The sequence below is a fragment of the Homo sapiens genome, chromosome 1 (genome assembly GCF_000001405.40).
Source record: "Homo sapiens chromosome 1, GRCh38.p14 Primary Assembly".
Classification (NCBI taxonomy): domain Eukaryota; kingdom Metazoa; phylum Chordata; class Mammalia; order Primates; family Hominidae; genus Homo; species Homo sapiens.
Window position 1 is genome coordinate 43,401,569 of NC_000001.11, and position 20,042 is coordinate 43,421,610.

At 46.3% G+C, this 20,042-nt stretch overlaps 1 protein-coding gene across 2 annotated transcripts in view; it reads left to right on the forward strand.

The window, feature by feature from the left end:
* The window catches only part of SZT2 (SZT2 subunit of KICSTOR complex), a 64,349-nt gene that overhangs the window by 11,670 nt on the left and 32,637 nt on the right, over positions 1–20,042 (forward strand). For both annotated transcript variants that reach the window (NM_001365999.1, NM_015284.4), the window contains exons 2-11: positions 1,609–1,734; positions 2,033–2,206; positions 2,812–2,982; positions 13,514–13,645; positions 14,392–14,533; positions 14,967–15,073; positions 18,166–18,376; positions 18,585–18,755; positions 19,181–19,415; positions 19,606–19,735. In NM_001365999.1, coding sequence (NP_001352928.1) covers positions 1,609–1,734; positions 2,033–2,206; positions 2,812–2,982; positions 13,514–13,645; positions 14,392–14,533; positions 14,967–15,073; positions 18,166–18,376; positions 18,585–18,755; positions 19,181–19,415; positions 19,606–19,735 — 1,599 coding nt within the window. The remainder of the gene's footprint in view (positions 1–1,608; positions 1,735–2,032; positions 2,207–2,811; positions 2,983–13,513; positions 13,646–14,391; positions 14,534–14,966; positions 15,074–18,165; positions 18,377–18,584; positions 18,756–19,180; positions 19,416–19,605; positions 19,736–20,042) is intronic.

Consider the following 20,042-nt stretch of genomic DNA (forward strand, 5'->3'; position numbering starts at 1 on the left):
CTCCGCCTCCTGGGTTCAAGCGATCTCCTGCCTCAGCCTCCCAAGTAGCTGGGATTACAGGTGCCTGCCACCACGCCTAGCTAATTTTTGTATTTTTAGTAGAGACGGGGTTTCACCATGTTGGCCAGGCTGGTCTCGAACTCCTGACCTCAGGTGATCCACCCGCCTCGGCCTCCTGAAGTGCTGGGATTACAGGCATGAGCCACTGCGCCCAGCCCTTTTTTTTTCTTTTACATAGTACTTTTGCATATATCTTAGATGCTCAATAAATGTGAGTTCCTCCTTCTTGCCTTCTGCTATCATCCTTATCACTTTCCAGTACCTCTTTCTGTATCTTTTTACCCCTTCCTTCTGTCTTGGAGCAGAAGAAAGACTACAACTTCACAGCCATTGTATCTGTTCTCCACACTTTTCTCTGACATCAGAAACTCTTCATTATTGGTTTTCCAGGGCTTTTTCAGTCTTCTCTCCATGCATGTTTCCCCATTTTGGAAAAAATAATTCTTCACTTTCTTTCAACATCATGTTTCTCAACAGGTAGTTATTAACTTCTGTTCGTTTCTCCTCTACTACCTGCTCTTCAGTTCTTGCCACCTGGTGTTCTTTCCCTCATTAATCAGGGACACAGGAGGAGAAATTTGCCATTTGTGTAGGACAGACAAGAGAAAGGGAGTAATGAATGTGACAGATAAGCATTAATCAGGAAGAGACATTGGGGAGTTCAGACCAATTGACCTTTATTTCCTCAGTGAACTGTGGGCAAGTTTATCTGCTGGGAGGGGATTGAGAGATTGGAAAACCTCCTGTGGGGAACAGGAAAGGCTGCTGGCCAGGAGAATTCAGAGGACTGGTAAAGGCCTGCTAGAGTGGGCACTGCTGGCAAGGTGACAAGTTTCTTTCTGTCCAAGTGCAGCTGCCATAGTATATGTGTGGATAAGGGAAAATGTCAGATTCATCCCCAGATAAGATTTGACAGGACATGTGTAGTGGAAGGACAAGGACATGGGCAAGGGAACCGATGCTTGTTAGAGCATTGTTGAAGTGGCCACCTATGAGGCAATGGAGGCAAGAACTAGAGGGCTGACAACTGAGAAGTGCGGGGGTGGGGACTGTGACCCACAGAGGTTTGATTTTGAGGTATTTGGAAGGCTTGCTATTCCTTCGGTGAAAATTTCTTCGGTGCCTGCTGTTGTCAAGACTTGTTAGGAGTAACTGTCTGGCATTCGTGTAATGTATTAGGGACTTGTCCTGGTATTTGCTCTGTTTGTAGCAATTTGCCAAGCACAGGGGCACAAAAGTAGAATCAGACACAGCCCCTGCCCTCAAAAGCTTATAGTTTATAGGTGAAACTCACATAAACTTTGTGGAAACAATATGGAAAGGTCACTTCATCTATATGGAGGTCTGTATCGGGCAAACAGGAACAGAGAGTTGAGAATTGACTCCCTGGGAACACCTTGCATGGAGGTTGGGGTAAACTTTTCACTTCTGCTGTTTTCCCTCTCATTGATGGTGAGTTCCTTGGGCAAATTATTTGGACAGTGATCTGTGTGTTCCAGGTACTCGGTGCCATTTTTTAAAGATGTATTAATGTCTCTTTGTTCCCAGGTGGAAGAAGCTGGGCAGGTGTTCCTGTTAATGAAAAAGGATTATCGAATCTCCCGAAATGTTCGCCTGGCTTGGTTCCTCAGTCATCTGCACCAAACTGTGCAGGCCACACCCCAGGAGATGCTGGTGAGGCTTAGACACACGAAAGGTGTGAGGGGCCAGCCCAGAAGGATCTGTTTTTTAGGAGAGTGCTAGAAACAGACAGGGTGGGAGACTAACTCTTAAGTCTGGTTAGGGCAAGGGACTGCCTACAAGATGATGGAAATTTTAAAAAATAATTTTTCCAGAGAGTGAGAGGAAGAGTATACGGTTAGATTGAGGGAGGTAGAGCCAATGATGTGTCATTTGGGATATAGAAGGCAGGTCCTGGGAAGAAAGGGATACTTCGCTGATCCTTTCCTTTTCTTTCCATCCTAATTTTCAGCTTCAGTCTGAACAGGAATTGGAAGTCCTCAGTGTCCTGCCCCCTGGGTGGCAGCCAGATGAACCAGTGGTCCCAAGGCCATTCCTCCTGGTACCTTCCACCCGGGTCACCTTCCTGGCTTGGCAGTATCGGTTTGTCATTGAGTTGGACCTTAGCCCATCTACTGGCATTGTGGTAAAGGATTGAAGGGAGACTGTGGGAAGAAAGGATGGGGTGGGGTGTGAGGAGAGGGAGAGGCCTGTGGGGAAGTGAAAAATGGTCCCAGCCTACCATTTTGGAGAGAAGACAGGCTTATAAAGGAATGATGGGTGTTTAAAAAGAGCACTGGGCCAGCTGTGGTGACTCATGCCTACAATCCCAGTGCTTTGGGAAGCCAAGGCGGGCTGATTACTCGAGCTCAGGAGTTCGAGACTAGCCTGGGCCACATGGCAAAACTCCCTCTCTATAAAAAATACAAAAATTAGCCAGGCATGCTGGCATGCACCTGTCCTAGCTACTCGGGAGGCTGAGGTGGGAGGATTGCTTGAGCCCAGGAGGTCGAGGCTACAGTGAGCCGGGATCAGGCCACTGCGCTCTAGCGTGGGCAACAAAGCAAGACCCTGGTTTTGTTGTTTTTGTTTCCAAAAAACACCCCAGAAACTGTTCCATGTGTGGCACTGTATTTGGGTGTGCGATCATCCATAAGTTAAGTGTCCTACTGACCCATGGAAGCTGCATGTTTCTGCCCTCTGGTTAGGGCTGCCTTTGGACCCCCTTGAGTGCTCTTTCTCTGCCCTCAGGATGATTCCACAGGGGAGATCTTGTTTGATGAAGTTTTCCATGCCCTGTCCCGCTGCTTAGGCGGGCTGCTTCGGCCCTTCCGAGTGCCTGGATCTTGCATCGACTTCCAGCCTGAGATCTATGTAACTATCCAGGCCTACTCCTCCATCATTGGACTGCAGTCCCACCAGGTATTGCATCATCTCTCCAAGTTTGTACCCTCAGACCAAATTTCTATTAGTCCTCTGACCAAGTCCTTATCCTGTCTCTGCTGTTTGTCCCCAAAGTCCCGAGCTCTGCTGGCTTCTTGAACCTGTTTTCTAGTCATCCTCATGAGTCTCTCTCTCCTTGAGAAGAACCAGTTCCTCTGGACTTAAAGGGCTTTCCTATAGACTTCGGGTCAGTTGGTGTTGATTGGACACCTGCCTTTTTCACTGCTCCTGTAAATCTCTTTGATTCTGACCACTGGATGTCTGTTTTCTCCATTCCCCTCTTCTCCTTTAGTTCTGTTGGATGGTTTGCTGATGCGCTGGCTCTGGCTAGTACCCTCAGGAGATGGTCTTTTGGAATAGTTTTGTGATTTTGAAAGACAGCACATAACCCAGAAATGTAATTGGTTTCAAGGATAGAGGAGGGTCATTTTTTGTTGTTGTCTTTTTTTGAGACGGAGTTTCGCTCTTTTTGCCCAGGCTGGAGTGCAATGGCACAATCTTGGCTCACTGCAACCTCCGCCTCCTGGGTTCAAGCGATTCTCCTGCCTCAGCCTCCCAAGTAACGGGGATGATAGGCACTCACCACCAGGCCCAGCTTATTTATTTATTTATTTATTTTTAGTAGAGACGGGGTTTTGCCATGTTGGCCAGGCTGGTCTTGAACTCCCGACCTCAGGTGATCTGCCAGCCTCGGCCTCCCAAAGTGCTAGGATTACAGGCGTGAGCCACCGTGCCCAGTGTGGGTCATTTTTTTTTTGAGGGCCATGTGAACTGTTGGTTATAATGCTGACCACACAGATAATTACAGGGCTTATCCAGCACTCAAGGAGGCTATCACAAGACACTCCTTTTGGAGAATGGCCAAGTCTGTTACTGGAATATCTGTTTATGACTTAGATAAGCATTGGCCCAGTTTCCCCTCATCTGCTTTTAACTACCCTTAACTCATTGGTAAAGGCTTTCCCTGAAACTGTCCGTGATGGCTGCATTGTCACCTTAGCTATCAAACTGGATTTGAGAGATAAGATATTGGGAACATGATCTAAGGGTCTGAAACATACAGCAACAAAATTGGTGCATACCTGGATCCCAGGGCAGGGATTGCCAGCCCTCTGCCCTAGTTTAAAGTGCTTTCCTAGTATAGCCGTTAGGACTATCAGTTGTGGGCTGCATCCCCAGATGGGGGCCAGGTTTTGCAGGCACTGATAGCCAAGGCAGGGAGAGCATGGATGTTAGGTAATCACTCAAAACTTGGTTCAGGTTGGCAAACACTTAATGAAGCCTGAGCTATACCAGGCCTGAGCAGGTCCTGAAGACACAGATGAATCAGACCTTGTCTTTCTCCTGATGTGAAGAGTTGAGATTTTAGTGGGGGAGATAAATATTAAAGGGAGGTAATTGTAGTTGAATGTGATAAGGGCACCGATAAGATGACTCAGGTGCTATGGGAGCACCAAGAGGGAGCACCCAACCAAGCATGGGGCCACAATAGAGAAGTCTTTCAGACAAAGCAGCATTTGTTTTTCATGTTTTTGAGACAGAGTCTTGCTCTGTTGCCCGGGCTAGAGTGCAGTGGTGCAACCTTGGCTCACTGCACCCTCCACCTCCTGGGTTCAAGCAATTCTCCTGCCTCAGCCTTTCAAGTAGCTGGGATTACAGGTGCCCACTACCACACCCGGCTAATTTTTGTTTTTTTTGTTTTTTTTGGTAGAGACAGGGTTTCACCATGTTGGCCAGGCTGCCCTCGAACTTCTGACCTCAAGTGATCCACCTGCCTCAGCCTCCCAAAGTGCTGGGATTACAGGCATGAGCTACTGTGCCTGGCCCAAAGCAGCATTTGAACTGAGTTTTGAAGAAAGAATTGAGGTTAACCATTCAAAGAAGGGGAAATGGACTTTTCTGACAGAGGGACCAGCAAAAGCAAATACATGGTACTATGAACCTGTACTCTCAATCACAGGTGTTTTAGGGAACTACATATTATTCAGTGTCAACAGAGTAAAATTTGAATGTGGAAAGGGATGGTAAAGAGGAGACTGTAGACATAAGTGGGAGCTGGTTATGAAAGGCCATGAATGTGACACTAAGGACTTTGTGCTTTATTCTATGGGGGAGTTCAGTGTGGAGGATAAGAGCACTGGATCTGGAATCACATTGCCTGTGTTTGCTTCCTGGCAGTACCACTTACTGGTTGTGTGTCCTTGAGCAAGTTACTTAACCTTTCTGTGCATCTGTGACCTTTTTCCAAAGGGGATATTAACATTGCTTATATCATATGGTGATTGAATTAATACATGTCAAGCACTTAGAACTGTGCTTGCCACATACAGAATGTGCAAATGTTAGCTATTAAAATAATTAGCCATAGGTAGCGGAGAACTACTGAAAATTTTAAACAGACAGTAACAGGATCACATGTCTACATTGGGAAGATCACAGTATTTTGTGGCTAATATGGAGGATGGATTTGGGGACAAAGTCTGGATGGGAGAATAGGCGAAGATTATTGTAGCATGGGAGAGAGGAGGAAGCCTGAATAAGGACAGCAGCTATAGGGAAGGAGAGGATTTCATCAGTTAAGCCCCAGGGCCACTTGGCCGCCCTGAGCCAGCCTTTTCATTTTCTCTGTGGCTCCCTCAAGATGTATCCTGGCTGGGCGCAGTGGCTCATGCCTGTAATCCTAGCACTTTGGGAAGCCAAGGCAGGTGAATCACATGAGGCCAAGCGTTTGAGACCAGCCTGGCCAATGTGGCAAAACCCTGTCTACTAAAAATACAACAACAACAACAAAAAAATTAGCTGGGCGTGATGGTGCATATCTGTAATCCCCGCTGCTTGGGAGGCCGAGTCATGAAAATTGCTTGAACCTGGGAGGCAGAGGTTGCCATGAGCCAAGATCACGCCACTGTACTCCAACCTGAGAAACAGAGTGAGACTCTGTCTCCAAAAAAAAAAACAAGATATATCCTGTTAAATCACAGCACAGCAGTGCGTGCCTGTAATCCCAGCTACTTGGGAGGCTGAGGTGAAAGAATTATTTGAGGCCAGGAGTTTGAGACTAGCCTGGGCCACAGAGTGAGAACCTGTCTCAAAAGAAAAAAGTTAATTCACATATATAATACATGTCCACAGAGATTTGAAAAATACATTAAAATATAAAGAAAAAACAAAACTCATCTATAATACAATACCCAGAAACAACAGGAGTTGTGCAAACAACAGTAGTTGTTTCTGGGTATCGTATTAAATTCTAACCTTTTTTTTTTTTTTTTTTTTTTTGAGACAGAATCTTGCTCTGTTACCCAGGCTGGAGTGCAGTGGCATGATCTGGGTTCACTGCAACCTCCACCTCCTGGGTTCAGGTGATTCTCCTGCCTCAGCCTCCCGAGTAGCTGGGACTACAGGCGCCCGCCACCACGCCCGGCTAATTTTTTGTATTTTTAGTAGAGACGGGGTTTCACAGTGTTGGCCAGGATGGTCTTGATCTCCTGACCTTGTGATCTGCCCGCCTCGGCCTCCCAAAGTGCTGGGATTACAGGCGTGAGCCACCACTCCTGGCTTAAATTCTAACATTTTATGGAACTTTCTTCTAATTTTGTGAGTGTGTCTTTATCCTCCCTCACCTCCATCTCTTTACCCAAAGAGAAAGGGAGAATCAAGAGGCTCATTCTAGACACGTGATTTTATGTCCTGTTTTTTGTTTTGTTTAAGAGACAGGGTCTCACTCTGTTGCCCAGGCTGGAGTGCAGAGGCATGATCATAGCTCAATGTAACCTTCAACTTCTGGGCTTAAGTGATCTCCCACCTCAGCCTGCCAAGTAGCTAGGACTACAGGTGCATGCCACCATACCTGACTAATTGTTTTAAATTTTTTTGTAGAGACAGGATCTTGTTATGTTGTCCAGGCTGGTCTCAAACTCTTGACTTCAAGTGATCCTCCCACCTCAGCCTCCCAAAGTACTGGGATTACAGGCATGAGCTGCTGTGCTTAGCCTGTCCTGCCTTTTTTTTATTTTTTTAACATATAGTATGGGCATTCTTGTGTGTCACTAAATATTCTTTGAAAATGTGATTTTTAATGTCCTGTTAACTTACTGTTTCATCATATCTTACCATATGTTTAGCCAGCCCCTACTTGGCCACTTGAGTTGTCTCAGTTTTCATTATTCTAAATAATATGAATAGGAACATCTTTCTCACCTTTTTATGGCTCCAGTTCTGCTCGTTTTCCTTCCCATGGGCCTGTAGAGTGAGACAATGTCCCACTTTCCCTTTTCTGGCTCGCCCGACCCACTTATCCAGTTGGGAACAGGGAGTAAAAAAGTAGTTGTTCCATGGGGTCAGGGTCCGAGAGAAGTGGGCATGTGGGGCAGGTTGTACGAGTGTGATGGGGAAAGAGGGGTGAGATCCTGAGGGCCACCGCAGGGACTGCTGGGTCTATATACAATTTTAGGATGGGGATACTTATTTATGTTTGAAGTAGAAGAAAAGGAGCCCATGGAGAAAGAATGAAGATATTAGAGAGACAAAAGGCTCAAGATTAGATGGACAGATTAGCTACAGGGAAAAAGAGAAGGAAGAGGAATCCTTGCTTCAGCACCTTGAAGGAAGAACAAAGACACAGATGTAAACCTTCAGTAGACTTTGGGGGTGCTTTCAGAGAGTTAGAGAGTAGTGTACCCTCCAGTTTGGGGTAAGCAGGGCGTTCCTATTGACTGACTTGCTTTCTCTTTGAAGAGGGCACAGGGCAGGAGTTATCTGCTGAGGGTAAAGGGAAGGAAGGAGCATTCATTAGGGGGATAAGGAGAGGATTTTGAGCGTAAAAGAGAGAAAAGTGAAGGTCTACCTAGAATAGTCAGACAAGAGAAAGAAAGAAAGGTCATCCAAACTGGAAAATAAGTCAAATTATCCTTGTTTGCAGATGATATGATCTTTTATTTGGAAAAACCTAATGGCTCCACCAAAAAACTATTAGAACTGATAAACAAATTCAGTAAAGTTGCAAGATACAAAATCAACATACAGAAAATCAGTAGCATTTCTGTATGTCAGCAGCAGACAATGTGAAGAAGAAATCAAGAAAGTAATCCCATTTACGATAGTTTAAAATAAAATACCTAGGAATTAACCAAAGAAGTGAAAGATCTCTACAATGAAAACTATAAAACATCGATGAGAGAAATTGAAGTGGACTCCAAAAATTGGAATGATATTCCATGTTCATGGATTGGAAGAATCAGTATTGTTAAAATGCCCACACTGCCTAAAGCAGTCTACAGATTCAGTACAATTCCTATCAAAATACCAATGACATTCTTCATAGAAATAGAGAAAACAATCCTAAAATTTATATGGAACCACAAAAGACCCAGAATAGCCAAAGCTATTCTGAGCAAAACAAACAAAACTGGAGGAATCACATTACCTGACTTCAGATTATACTACAAAGCTATAGTAACCAAAAACAGCATGGTACTGGCATAAAAACAGACACATAGACCAATGGAACAGAATAGAGAACCCAGAAGCCATATATCTACAATGAACTCATTTTTGACAGATGCCAAGAACATACATTGGGGAAAGAACAGTCTCTTCAATAAATGGTTCTGGGAAGACTGGATATTCATATGCAGAAGAATGAAACTAGACTCCTATCTCACAAAAATCAAATCAAAATGGATTAAAGACTTAAATCTGGCCAGGCGCAGTGGCTCACACCTGTAATCCCAACACTTTGGGAGGCCAAGGCAGGTGGATCACGAGGTCAGGAGTTCAAGACCAGCCTGGCCAAGATGGTGAAACCCCATCTTTACTAAAAAACTACAAAAAAACTAGCCGGGTGCAGTGGCAGGTGCCTGTAATCTCAGCTACTCGGGAGGCTGAGGCAGGAGAATCGCTTGAACCCGGGCAGCAGAGGTTGCAGTGAGCCAAGATCGCGCCACTGCACTCCAGCCTGGCCGACAGAGTAAGACTCTGTCTCAAAAAAAAAAAAAAAAAAAAAAAAGACTTAAATCTAAGACCTCAAACTATGAAACTACTAAAAGAAAGCATTGGAGAAACGCTCCATGACACTGGACTGGGCAAAGATTTCTTTTCTGTGTCTAATCTAGCAGATTAACTCAATATCCTGCTCTATTTAATACTGTTAAGCAGAAGGAAATAACTAATTTCAATTTTAAACTCACAAAACAAAGGAAACAAAATCATCTCACTACAGGCCTTTGACAAAGAACATGAGTCATTTGCTATAGCTGCCAGGCATCAGTGTATGGCGAGGAACGGGGGCTTGAGGTTGCCCAGGCAAGGCCTCTGAGGTGGGGTATATTGGGGGTTGGGGGGGGATCTTGATAGCACTGAGTTGCTGGATCCTGTGCTGCCCTGCCTGGGTGGGGAGCAGGGTGAGGGAGGCCATTCCTCTTCTGTAGAAAATGCCAACCCCCAGTACAGGGACTCTGGCAGCTGAATTGGTGACTGTAAAGCCTGATCTATATGAAATCAAAGGCACATGTGGAAATCCACTCCCAGCAAAGGGGGAGTCCTTGGGGGAAGCCAGCTGGGTTTCTGTAGGATCCCCTCTGAAATGTCAGCATTTGAAAAACACAACCCAAAAGTAGAGGATCTACAGGGAACTTTATTCTCTCACTTCTGTCTTCATGGAGGGCACTGCCCCTTGGGAAGACCAGGTTGGCTTCTGGCACAGGTATCCCCCATCTTCTTGGGCACCTGTGGCATTGCCAGCAGGCCAGAGGGGGCAGCTGGCAGTGTTGGCTCTAGCCTGACCCAGGGGGCCCAGTTAGGATGCCCTCTACCCATGGCAGGGGTGATGGCTACTTCTCCATGGTTCATGCATGAAGCTTCCAGCCCTTTCCAGCTCAGGGAACACATGCAGAATGACAGTCACCCAGCAGACTGGAAACTGCCTCCTCTCCAAAAGTCTGGCTCCTGAACACCCTCCTCCCTGGGAAGGGCTTTAGCCCCTTTGAGATTGGGCAGGAACCAGAAGAACAGTTTCTCTGCTTTGCCATGTCTGCAACCTAGGGCTCACCCAGCCCCATCAAGTGCTGAGCTCCAGCACTGTCCACACAGTGGAAACCAAGTGAAATGACTTTGGCTTGTGGAGGGGGAAGAATGAAAAACAAAAACAAAAGCAAAATCACCTGCCCACAAGATAGAGCAGAAAAGTTCATCCACTATCTTTTTTTTTTTTTTTTTTTTTTTTTTTGAGACAGAGTCTCACTCTGTCACCTCGGGTGGAGTGCAGTGGCATGATCTTGGTTCATTGCAACCTCCGCCTCCCGGGTTCAAGCAATTCTCCTGCCTCAGCCTCCCGAGTAGCTGGGATTACAGGCACCTGCCACTACGCCCAGCTAATGTTTTGTATTTTAAGTAGAGACAGGGTTTTACCATGTTGGCCAGGCTGGTCTTGAACTCTTGACATCATGATTTGCCCGCCTCAGCCTCCCAAAGTGCTGGGATTACAGGCGTGAGCCACCACACCCGGCGACTTCATCCACTGTCTGTCCGCTTCCTGTGTAAGGCCGACCACCCAGCCCCCAAACAACCCTTAAAATGAGACCCAAACCAAAGACCTAACATATAAGCCTCAAATCAGTAAACCTCTCCTGAAACAGGCAGAGGAACTGCCTGCCCAGAAATACTCACAATAGGCTGTGCAGATTGTAAAGAGATCAACAGCTTCACCCACGCTCTGCATAAACTCTGGTACTGGCTGTGTTCTCCATAGAAGGTCTCGCTGTGTTGCCTGGGCTGGAGTGCAGTGGTGTGAACACAGCTCACTGCAGCCTTGATCTCTTGGGCTTAAGTGATTCTCCTGCCTCAGACTCCTGAGTAGCTGAGACCACAGGTGCATTTCACCACTCAGCTAATTTTTAGTTTTTTTGTAGAGATGAGGTCTCTACCAAGCTGGTCTCTAACTCCTGGGCTCAAGCGATCTTCCCATCTTGGCCTCCCAAAGTGCTGGGATTACACATGTGAACCACTATGCTTGGCTCAAAGATTTATTGATAATACCCTGCAAGCACAAGCGTGCAAAGCAAAAATGGACAAATAGGATCACATCAAGTTAAAAAGCTGCACAGCAAAGGAAACAATAAACAAAGTGAGGAAACAACCACAGAATGGGAGAAAATATTTGCAAACCACCCATCTGACAAGGGATTAATTACCAGAATATATAAGGAGCTCAAACAACTCTATAAGAAAAAAAAATCCAATAATCTGATTTTAAAATGGGATTTTTTTTATCTTAAAAAAGATCTCAATAGACATTTCTCAAAAGAAGGCATACATATGGCAAACAGGTATATGAAAAAGTGTTCAATATCATTGATCATCAGAGAAATGCAAATGAAAACTGCAATGAGGTATCATTTCACCCCAGTTAAAATGGTTTTTATCCAAAAGACAGGCAATAACATGCTGGTGAGGATGTGGAGAAAAGGTAACGTTGTGCACTCTTGGTAGAAATGTAAATTAGTACAACCACTATGAAGAACAGTTTGGAGGTTCCTCAAAAAACAAAATAGGCTGGGCACGGTGCCTCATACCTGTAATCCCAGCACTTTGGGAGGCCGAGGTGGGAGTTTGAGACCAGCCTGGCCAACATGGTGAAACCTTGTCTCTACTAAAAATACAAAAATTAGCTGAGCGTGATGGCAGATGCCTGTAATCCCAGCTACTCGGGAGCCTGAGGCAGAGAATTGCTTGAATCTGGGAGGCAGAGATTGCAGTGAGCCGAGATAGTGTCACTGCACTCCAGCCTGGGTGACAGAGCAAGACTCCATCTCAAACAAAAAACAAAACAAAACAAAACTGAAAATAGAGCTACCATATGATCTAGCAATCCTCCCTCCTAGGTGTATACCCAAAAGAAAGGAAATCAGTATATGGAAGAGATATCTGCACTCCCATGTTTATTACAGCACTATTCACAATAGACAAGATCTGGAAGCAGCCTGAGTGTTCATTGACAGATGAATGGATAAAGAAAATGTGGTACATATATACAATGGAATACTATTCAGCCATAAAAAAGAATGAGATCCTGTCATTTGCAACAACATGGATGGAACTGGAGGACATTATGTTAAGTGAAATAAGCCAGGCACAGAAAGACAAACTTGGCATGTTATTTATTTGTGAGAGCTAAAAATTAAAACAATTGAACTAATGAAGATGGAGAGTGGAACGATGGTTACCAAAGGCTGGGAAGGGTAGCTGGGGGAGGTGGAAGGGGAGATGGTTAATGGGTACAAAAATAGAGTTAGAAAGAATGAATAAGATCTAGTACTTGATAGCACAGTAGACTGACTACAGTCAACAGTAATTTATTGTACATTTAAAAATAACTAAAAGAGTAAAATTGGATTGTTTGTAACACAAAAAATAGGATAAATGCCTGAGGTGGGTAGGCATGGTGACTCATGCCTGTAATCCCAGCACTTTGGGAGGCTGAGGTGGGTGGATCACTTGAGGCCAGGAGTTTGAGACCAGCCTGGCCAACATGGTGAAACCCCGTCTCTACTAAAAATACAAAAATTACCTGGGTGTGGTGGCCCATGCCTGTAATCCCAGCTGAGGAAGGCTGAGGCACAAGAATTGCTTGAACCCGGGAGGCGGAGGTTGCAGTGAGCCAAGATCGCACCTGCACTCTAGCCTGGGCGACAGAGCAAGGCTCTGTCTCAAAAAAACAAACAAACAAACAAAAAAAACTTGAAGTGGTGGATACCCCATTTACCATGATTTAATTGTTATACATTGTATTCCTGTATCAAAATATCTCATGTGCTCCATAAATATATACACCTTCTATGTACCCACAAAAATTTTTAAAAAAAAATTTTTTTTTATACAGTCTCACTCTGTAGCCCAGGCTGGAGTGCAGTGGCGTGATCTCTGCTCACTGCAACCTCTGCCTTCCAGGTCCCAGTTAAGCAATTCTCTTGCCTCCCAAGTAGCTGGGATTACAGGTGCCCACCACCATGCACAGCTAATTTTTGTAAAATTGAAAAGGTCCAGAATAGCCTCTGTGTGTACAGAAGGTAGGAGTCTCCATGGTGACAGCTGATCTTGGGCTGGTCAGTATGCTTAGAAATAAAAAAGCATTAAAAAGTATGAGAATAAAAAAGGCTTTGCCGGGCTGAGGAGGGGCAGCTCATAAGACATCCTGTAGGCCAAGGTAGAAGAAGCTATTAATAGAAGATCTTATAGTGCCCCCATGTGGGGGGTTGGGGAAGCCCAGTGTGGAGGACCCTAAGCAGAGGGAAGTTGTGACCCCAGATAAAGATGACTAATGACTAGGGACCTGGGCTGAGGACTGATGGAGATTGGATAAGGGGGAAATTGGCTGTGGAGTCATACCTTAGACCCTGGTTGGGTAGGAAGTCAGGATCGCCTAGATGGAGCTATGGAGAATAAACAGAGCAGAAGTGTAGTGGTCTGTGCCACCCTGACCGTCCTGTCTCAGTCTTTCCCATGTGCTTCTTAGGTGCTGGTACAGGGCTGCCTCTTGGACCCTTCCCAGCGGGAGGTGTTCCTGCAGCAGATATATGAGCAGCTCTGCCTCTTTGAGGATAAGGTGGCCACCATGCTGCAGCAGCAGTACGATCCCCAGAGCCAGGTATGTAAGAGAGAAAGTGGGCAGAGGCAACTTAGAAAGAGGAGCAGCTAAGGACAGAGGGCAGAGAGGAGGGATAGTCCAAATAGGGCAAAAAAGGGCTAAGAGCTGGGGCAAAATGAGACAAGGATAGGCATGCTCATGACACACTCCCTGTTGGAGCAGGACTCAGATATACTCCCCAAAACACAGATTCTTTCAGGGAAAAAATGTGAAATCCATTTGTTTGCATTTTTTTTTAGCCCCAGATCTCCTCCAGTGGATCTGAGAAGGTGATTATGCGTGGCTTTGACCTCTAGTTAGCATTTTGTACAATCAGGGATAAAGCTGCCTAGGCCCACTAGACTTCCCTGTCTCATCACTTTGGGTACCCCAGAAGTAGCCAGGCAAATGGCAGTCCTGTGTGCCTGATGACTGGTCATGTAATTTGATTGAGGTATAAAATATTTCATAACAGTGATGGAAAAATGTGGAAAGGGGCCCTTCTTGGCAAAAGATGGAGAAGCCCTACTTCAGTACAGTCTGAAGCTTCATCTGATGCCGAACTCCCTTCACCTCTGAGGTTCAGTATCTGAGCACACACAGGGAGGAAGCACAGTCAAGACTCAGCCGCATAGTAGGGGAATTGAGGTTCTCACAGGATTCGGCCTGTCTGGCCTGAGAAGTGCTGGGCTATAAATTCTGGCTTTGCTATGGATGGGGCAGCAATGCCATCTGCCCCATTCTGTCTTTTCTGTAACTTGGGGCAGGCAGAAGACCAGTCCCCAGACTCAGGGGACCTACTGGGCCGGAAGGTAGGCGTCTCCATGGTGACAGCTGATCTTGGGCTGGTCAGTATGATTCGTCAGGGCATCTTGGCACTGCAGTTACTACCCTCGAACTCTAGTGCAGGTCAGTAGAAGGAATATTGGTGGGACTGGGGAAGCAGGGATACAGGAAGGGTGGGGCTGACTGCTAACAAAGATAGCAGTTCCAGGGAATCAGTGGGCCCCAGGGAAGAGGATCTGTTTCCTTGTTTGCAAAATGTAAGTCTGTATTAGTGTGTATCAGGAACCCTCGACTCTGACAACCATCAGAGACCCTAGAAGGAGTAGAGCTCCAAGGATATCACTTAGGGGAGGTTATGATCTGGCATTCAAGAGGAAGAAGCAGGAGGGTAAGGGAGAAGGAAAGGTGTTTGAAGTTTATAAAACTTCACAGTTTATGAAACTGCCGACATTGGTGGGAAGACACTGAGCCGTTCAGGACCCTGTCAGTTGGGTGCCTCCCTGTGAGTTTGGTCTGGCCAGTGTCTCCAGGTCTGATCTGGTGTTTCCTGCTCCAGGGATTATCGTGATCACGGATGGGGTGACCAGTGTACCTGATGTTGCTGTCTGTGAGACACTGCTGAACCAGCTTCGCAGTGGCACTGTGGCTTGTTCCTTTGTCCAGGTGAGGACTTTTTAGGAAGGACGAGAGAGATATGGAATATCTCACACAAAGTTGGGATGGCTGATTACTTTCTTACAGGCAGTGATTTCCCAGATAAAGTCAATTACTTAGTTACATGGGGGGAAGGAGTCATATCTAGAAGGTAGGTAGCATCGTGGGAGAGGACTCTTATTTTTTTCCTCTTTCCTTAGGATTTTGGAAATAGCTGTTAAAGCAAAAAGAATGCAGAATTTGAAATCTGACAGTCATTTCCAGTCCCACCTCCCCTTGTAGATTAGTCATTATTGTTTTGAGTGCAAGGGTCAGAAAACCCCGCTCAAACTAGCTTAACCAAAGGGGGAAAAGGCATAGCCAGGGACTGCAGCTAATTTGGATTGATGGACTGTAGGGAAGGAGGTAAAAAGCTATGGGAAACAAGGCTGAAGGGGTAGGCACAGGCCAGAACATGAAAATCTGGTTCTGCTTTATTAATGAGGTTAAGCATGATTCTGTGGGTGATGCAGATAGATAGAAGGAAAGTCATTAGTTGGGTTTATGTTTTATAAAGGTCACTCTTGCTGCTGGGTGAAGGACGGGGGAAGTCGGGGAGGCTACTAATTGCAGTGAGAGAGGATCAGGGCTTAAATTAGGGGTAAGAGGATTGAGAAAAATGAAGAGGCAGAGTCAACCTGACTTCATGATTAGCAAGATGGGGGTAAGGAGATGAGAGAGAAGCGGGCTTAAAGTTGTCTCCAAGTTTTTGACTCCAGTGATGACTGGGTAGCAGCAGAGCAAAAGGAAGAGAAGCAGTTGTGGTAGAGTGAGGATAAGATGATGAATGCAAGTTTGTGTATGTTGTGTTCGAGGTGCCTGTGGTTCAACACAGACAGTTAAGAACATCACCTTTGGAGTTAGGCATGCTGGTCTAAATCCTGACTGCACTTACTAACTGTGTGACATTGGGCACATCACTTCACCTCTAGGTCAGATTCATTTGTAAATGGAGATTGTAAAAGTACTTATCTCACTGGGAGGTGAGATGCATTTAAAGTATGTAGCATTGTACGTAATCACTTAAGAAATGGCTGCTATTTGTAGCAGGTAGCAGTTGAATACACAGATCCTGATATTCAGGAGACAAACACTGCTTGAGAGGTAGAGATTTAAGATTTATCAGGGTACAGATGGTAATTGAGAACAGAAGAGGGTCCTGGAAGAACTTTGGGGAACACCAGTGTTCAAGGTCTTTCATAGGAAGAGGGCCCAGCAAGGAATGAAGAATCAGCCAGGAACCAGAAGATTGTGATGTCAGAGAAGGTCAGAATTTTTGGAAGAAAATTTTACTGGATCTTTCTGCTGCTTCTCACAATGGTAACTACACTGTGAGAAGTAGCAAAAAGATCAAGTAAAATGAGGAATGAAAAGTGCCCTTTGGATTTGGTGATTAGGAGGTCACGGGGATCTTTTTCAGAGCCATTTTAGTGAAGAGGTGGTGAGGGGATTGAAGAGTGGATAGAAGGAAGGAAATAGGGACAAGTGTTGACAAAAGAAATTTGGCTGTTGAGATAAACAGCAGAGCAAGAGAGAGAATGGTAACCAGAGGGAAGTACAGGGTAAAGGAGTGTTGTGTTTTGTTTTTAAAGCTAGAGACTTAAGCATGTTTCTAAGGATCTGTAGTGAAGAAGAGTTTGAAAATAAAGGAAGGAAAAAGGAGGCTGGTGGAGTAAAGTCCCTAAATTGACAGGAGGGCATTGTCTTAAGAAACAGATTGAGGGATTCTTTTGGAGCAGGGAAGTGTCGTTTCTTTCTTTGAAAATAGAAAGAAGTGAAGATGTCTGCGAAGGGCCTCCGATTTCTCTCTGAAGTAAAAGGTGAAGCTGAGTACTGTAAGGAAGAGGCCAGAGTTGGGAAGAAGGAACAGTATTAAGGACTGCCCTGAAGGACTAGCTGAGTTGGGTGTCATATGTTTTGATGTGGTGCCAACCTACACAACTGTCAGTTTTCTCTGGGCACCACTGGCCAAGAATAGAGGCTATGATCGTAGTTGGGGTTTCGAAGAAGCAGATGAGAGTGAAGAGGGCCAGGGATTTGAGAGCGATGCTTATGAAGTTGTCTGAATGTAGGGTCCAAGCTGGGTCGAGAAAGGAGGGTCAGGACAATGTGGATAGATTTGGAGAGAGCAGAGGTTCAAGGCCTGGCAGTCTCAGTGAGGTCAAAGAGCAGCAGCAGGAGGAGGGTGGGAGGAAGCTAAGGGAATAGTGTTGTATGTAATCAGTGGGTTATGGCAATTTGAAATTGCAAAGATGAATTTGTTCCACATGAAGCCAAGAGCCAGCGTGTAGCCTATAGGCAGGTGAATGGAATAGAGTAAGTTACTGGAGATGAGAGTTAAGGAACTGAGAGGGCAGGGACTTGAATGAGTAATCTGGAGCAGGTCTGCAAACACTTTCTGCAAAGGCCAGTCAGTCTTTAAGCCTTGTGGGCCACTTGGTCCGTCACAGCTACTCAGCTCTGCTGTTGAAGCGTGAAAGCAGCCACAGACAATACAAAATGAATGTGTGTGGCTGTGTTCCAATAAAACTCGATTCACAAAAATAGGTGATGGACTAGATTTGGCCCTCAGGGTATATGTAGTTTGCTAATTTCCCACCTACAGCTATTGTATTCAAAATGTAGTCCACAGACCAGCAGAAAGCTTGTTTGAAATGCAGAATCTCAGGCCCCACCCCAGACCTACTGCATTTTAACAAAATCCCCAGGTGTTTTTCATACACCCTAAAGTTTGAGAAGTGTTGGTAAGCTGAAGTCTCTCAGGATGATGACAGGAAGTCAGTGAACCAGTTGCCAAAATCTTTAGTGAAGGAGGTGGTGGGCCTTTAGGTATCGAGGAGGAAGCAAAGAGGATGCTGTGGCCGGTTAGCATGGGCATCAGACAGAAGGGCTTAAGGAAGGAAAGACACAGACAGTGGTCTGTCCTGGGAAAACACTGGCCTACTTCCCACTCTGTGGTCCAGGGAATGGGAGCAGCCACCTAGCCCAGTCTCTTTCTCTCCTGTTCTTCCTTCTCCTATGCCTCTGTCAGAGCTAGGTCTTCAGTTGCTCACTTTTTCCAGGTGGGAGGAGTTTACTCTTATGACTGCAGTTTTGGCCATGTGCCCAATGTGGAATTAATGAAGTTCATCGCAATGGCAACATTTGGGTCCTACCTGTCCACTTGTCCTGAGCCGGAGCCAGGCAACCTGGGTCTGACTGTCTACCACCGGGCATTTCTCCTCTATTCCTTCCTGCGCAGTGGGGAAGCACTGAACCCTGAATATTACTGCGGTGAGAGGCACACTGAGGTGGGTGTGGGAAGGAGGGAATATAGAATGGGCCCAGAGATGATGGGGCCCTGGAGGACTGAAAGTGTAACTGGGGCTGGCTCTGCTGGCACTGTTACCTCACAGTCATTTCAGCATAGCCCCTTCCCCCTACAGATCTGTCAGTTGGCAGATAACCAGTTTCTCCTTCCCCATCTCCACTGGTCTTCCAGGCTCTCAGCACCGCCTATTTAATGAGCACCTGGTCTCTGCAAGCAGCAACCCTGCCCTGGCCTTGCGCCGGAAGAAGCACACTGAGAAGGAGGTGCCAGCCGACTTGGTCAGCACTGTGTCCGTACGGCTTCGAGAGGGCTACAGTGTCCGAGAGGTCACACTGGCCAAAGGTAAGGGTCATTAGGCCCTGCTGTAATCCCATAGATCTCTCAAGAATTTGTGTGTGGGAAGACCCACATGTATCACACATGAAAGAGTGTCACATTGAAGTCCTTATCACTTGAGACAGTGGGTTTTGAATTGTCATCAGGGCTTAATTCTCTTAGCATGGAGCTTCCCAATTCTATCTCCTTTTGCCCAAGGTGAACCAGCTGAGGGTGGTATAGGGTCCTGAACTTGGCTTAGTTTTCAGATTGTTTCTACAAACTTGTGTTTGTGTCAGTGGGCCAACTCTGGGCCTGAAACCTGTGGAACCATGCTTGGAACCTTTGGCAGGACTGGGTTCCATGAGGTAGGTGGGGGTTTCAGATAGAACTCGATCCCAGGCCTAGAGTCCTATGCCTTCTCCTAACTGGCCCTTCCGCTTCTCCCTAAGGAGGGTCCCAATTGGAGGTAAAGCTGGTGCTGCTGTGGAAACACAACATGCGCATTGAGTATGTGGCTATGGCACCCTGGCCCCTGGAGCCTGAGGGCCCTCGAGTAACACGGGTGGAAGTGACGATGGAAGGCGGCTACGACATTTTGCATGATGTGTCCTGTGCACTAAGGCAGCCCATTCGTTCATTGTATCGTACCCATGTTATCCGGCGTTTCTGGAACACGCTGCAGAGGTCAGTGAAGTCATCACTCAATGAGTGCTGCCCCATTTGTTGTATGGAGGGACAGATTTGCAAAGGCGGGAGCTGGGGAGCATCACCCAGAGAACCAGGCTTATATCCAGGGTCCCATGTCCCCCTAAGGCTCCCCTCATCTGCACCCAGCAGAGTCAGATATGGCTCAGGCCTGGCCCTTATTCTACAGCATCAACCAGACAGACCAGATGCTTGCCCACCTTCAGTCCTTCTCCTCAGTGCCTGAGCATTTCACGCTTCCTGACAGCACCAAGAGCGGAGTGCCACTCTTCTACATCCCTCCAGGCTCCACCACCCCGGTGAGTAGCTCTGAAGTATAGTAGCCCCATTTCATGTCAACTTGGGTTGCACAGCATCTGGAGCCCAGGACCACCACCTTCTATTCCTTTCTGTCTCACGTCTAAGGCACCTAAGCCAGAAGCCCAAGCTTTAACCTTGAGAGCTTCTCTTCTCCCTAAGGCCCCGGGGAAGAGGAGGATCTATACAGACAGGCTGTCCTGAACAGAGCACAGGTGGCAGAGGCAAAGACTCACACAGTGTCTAGGTGGTGGTATCCCAGTCCCAGCAGACCGTGAGCCCTTGCCCCATCTCCACGTGACATACTCT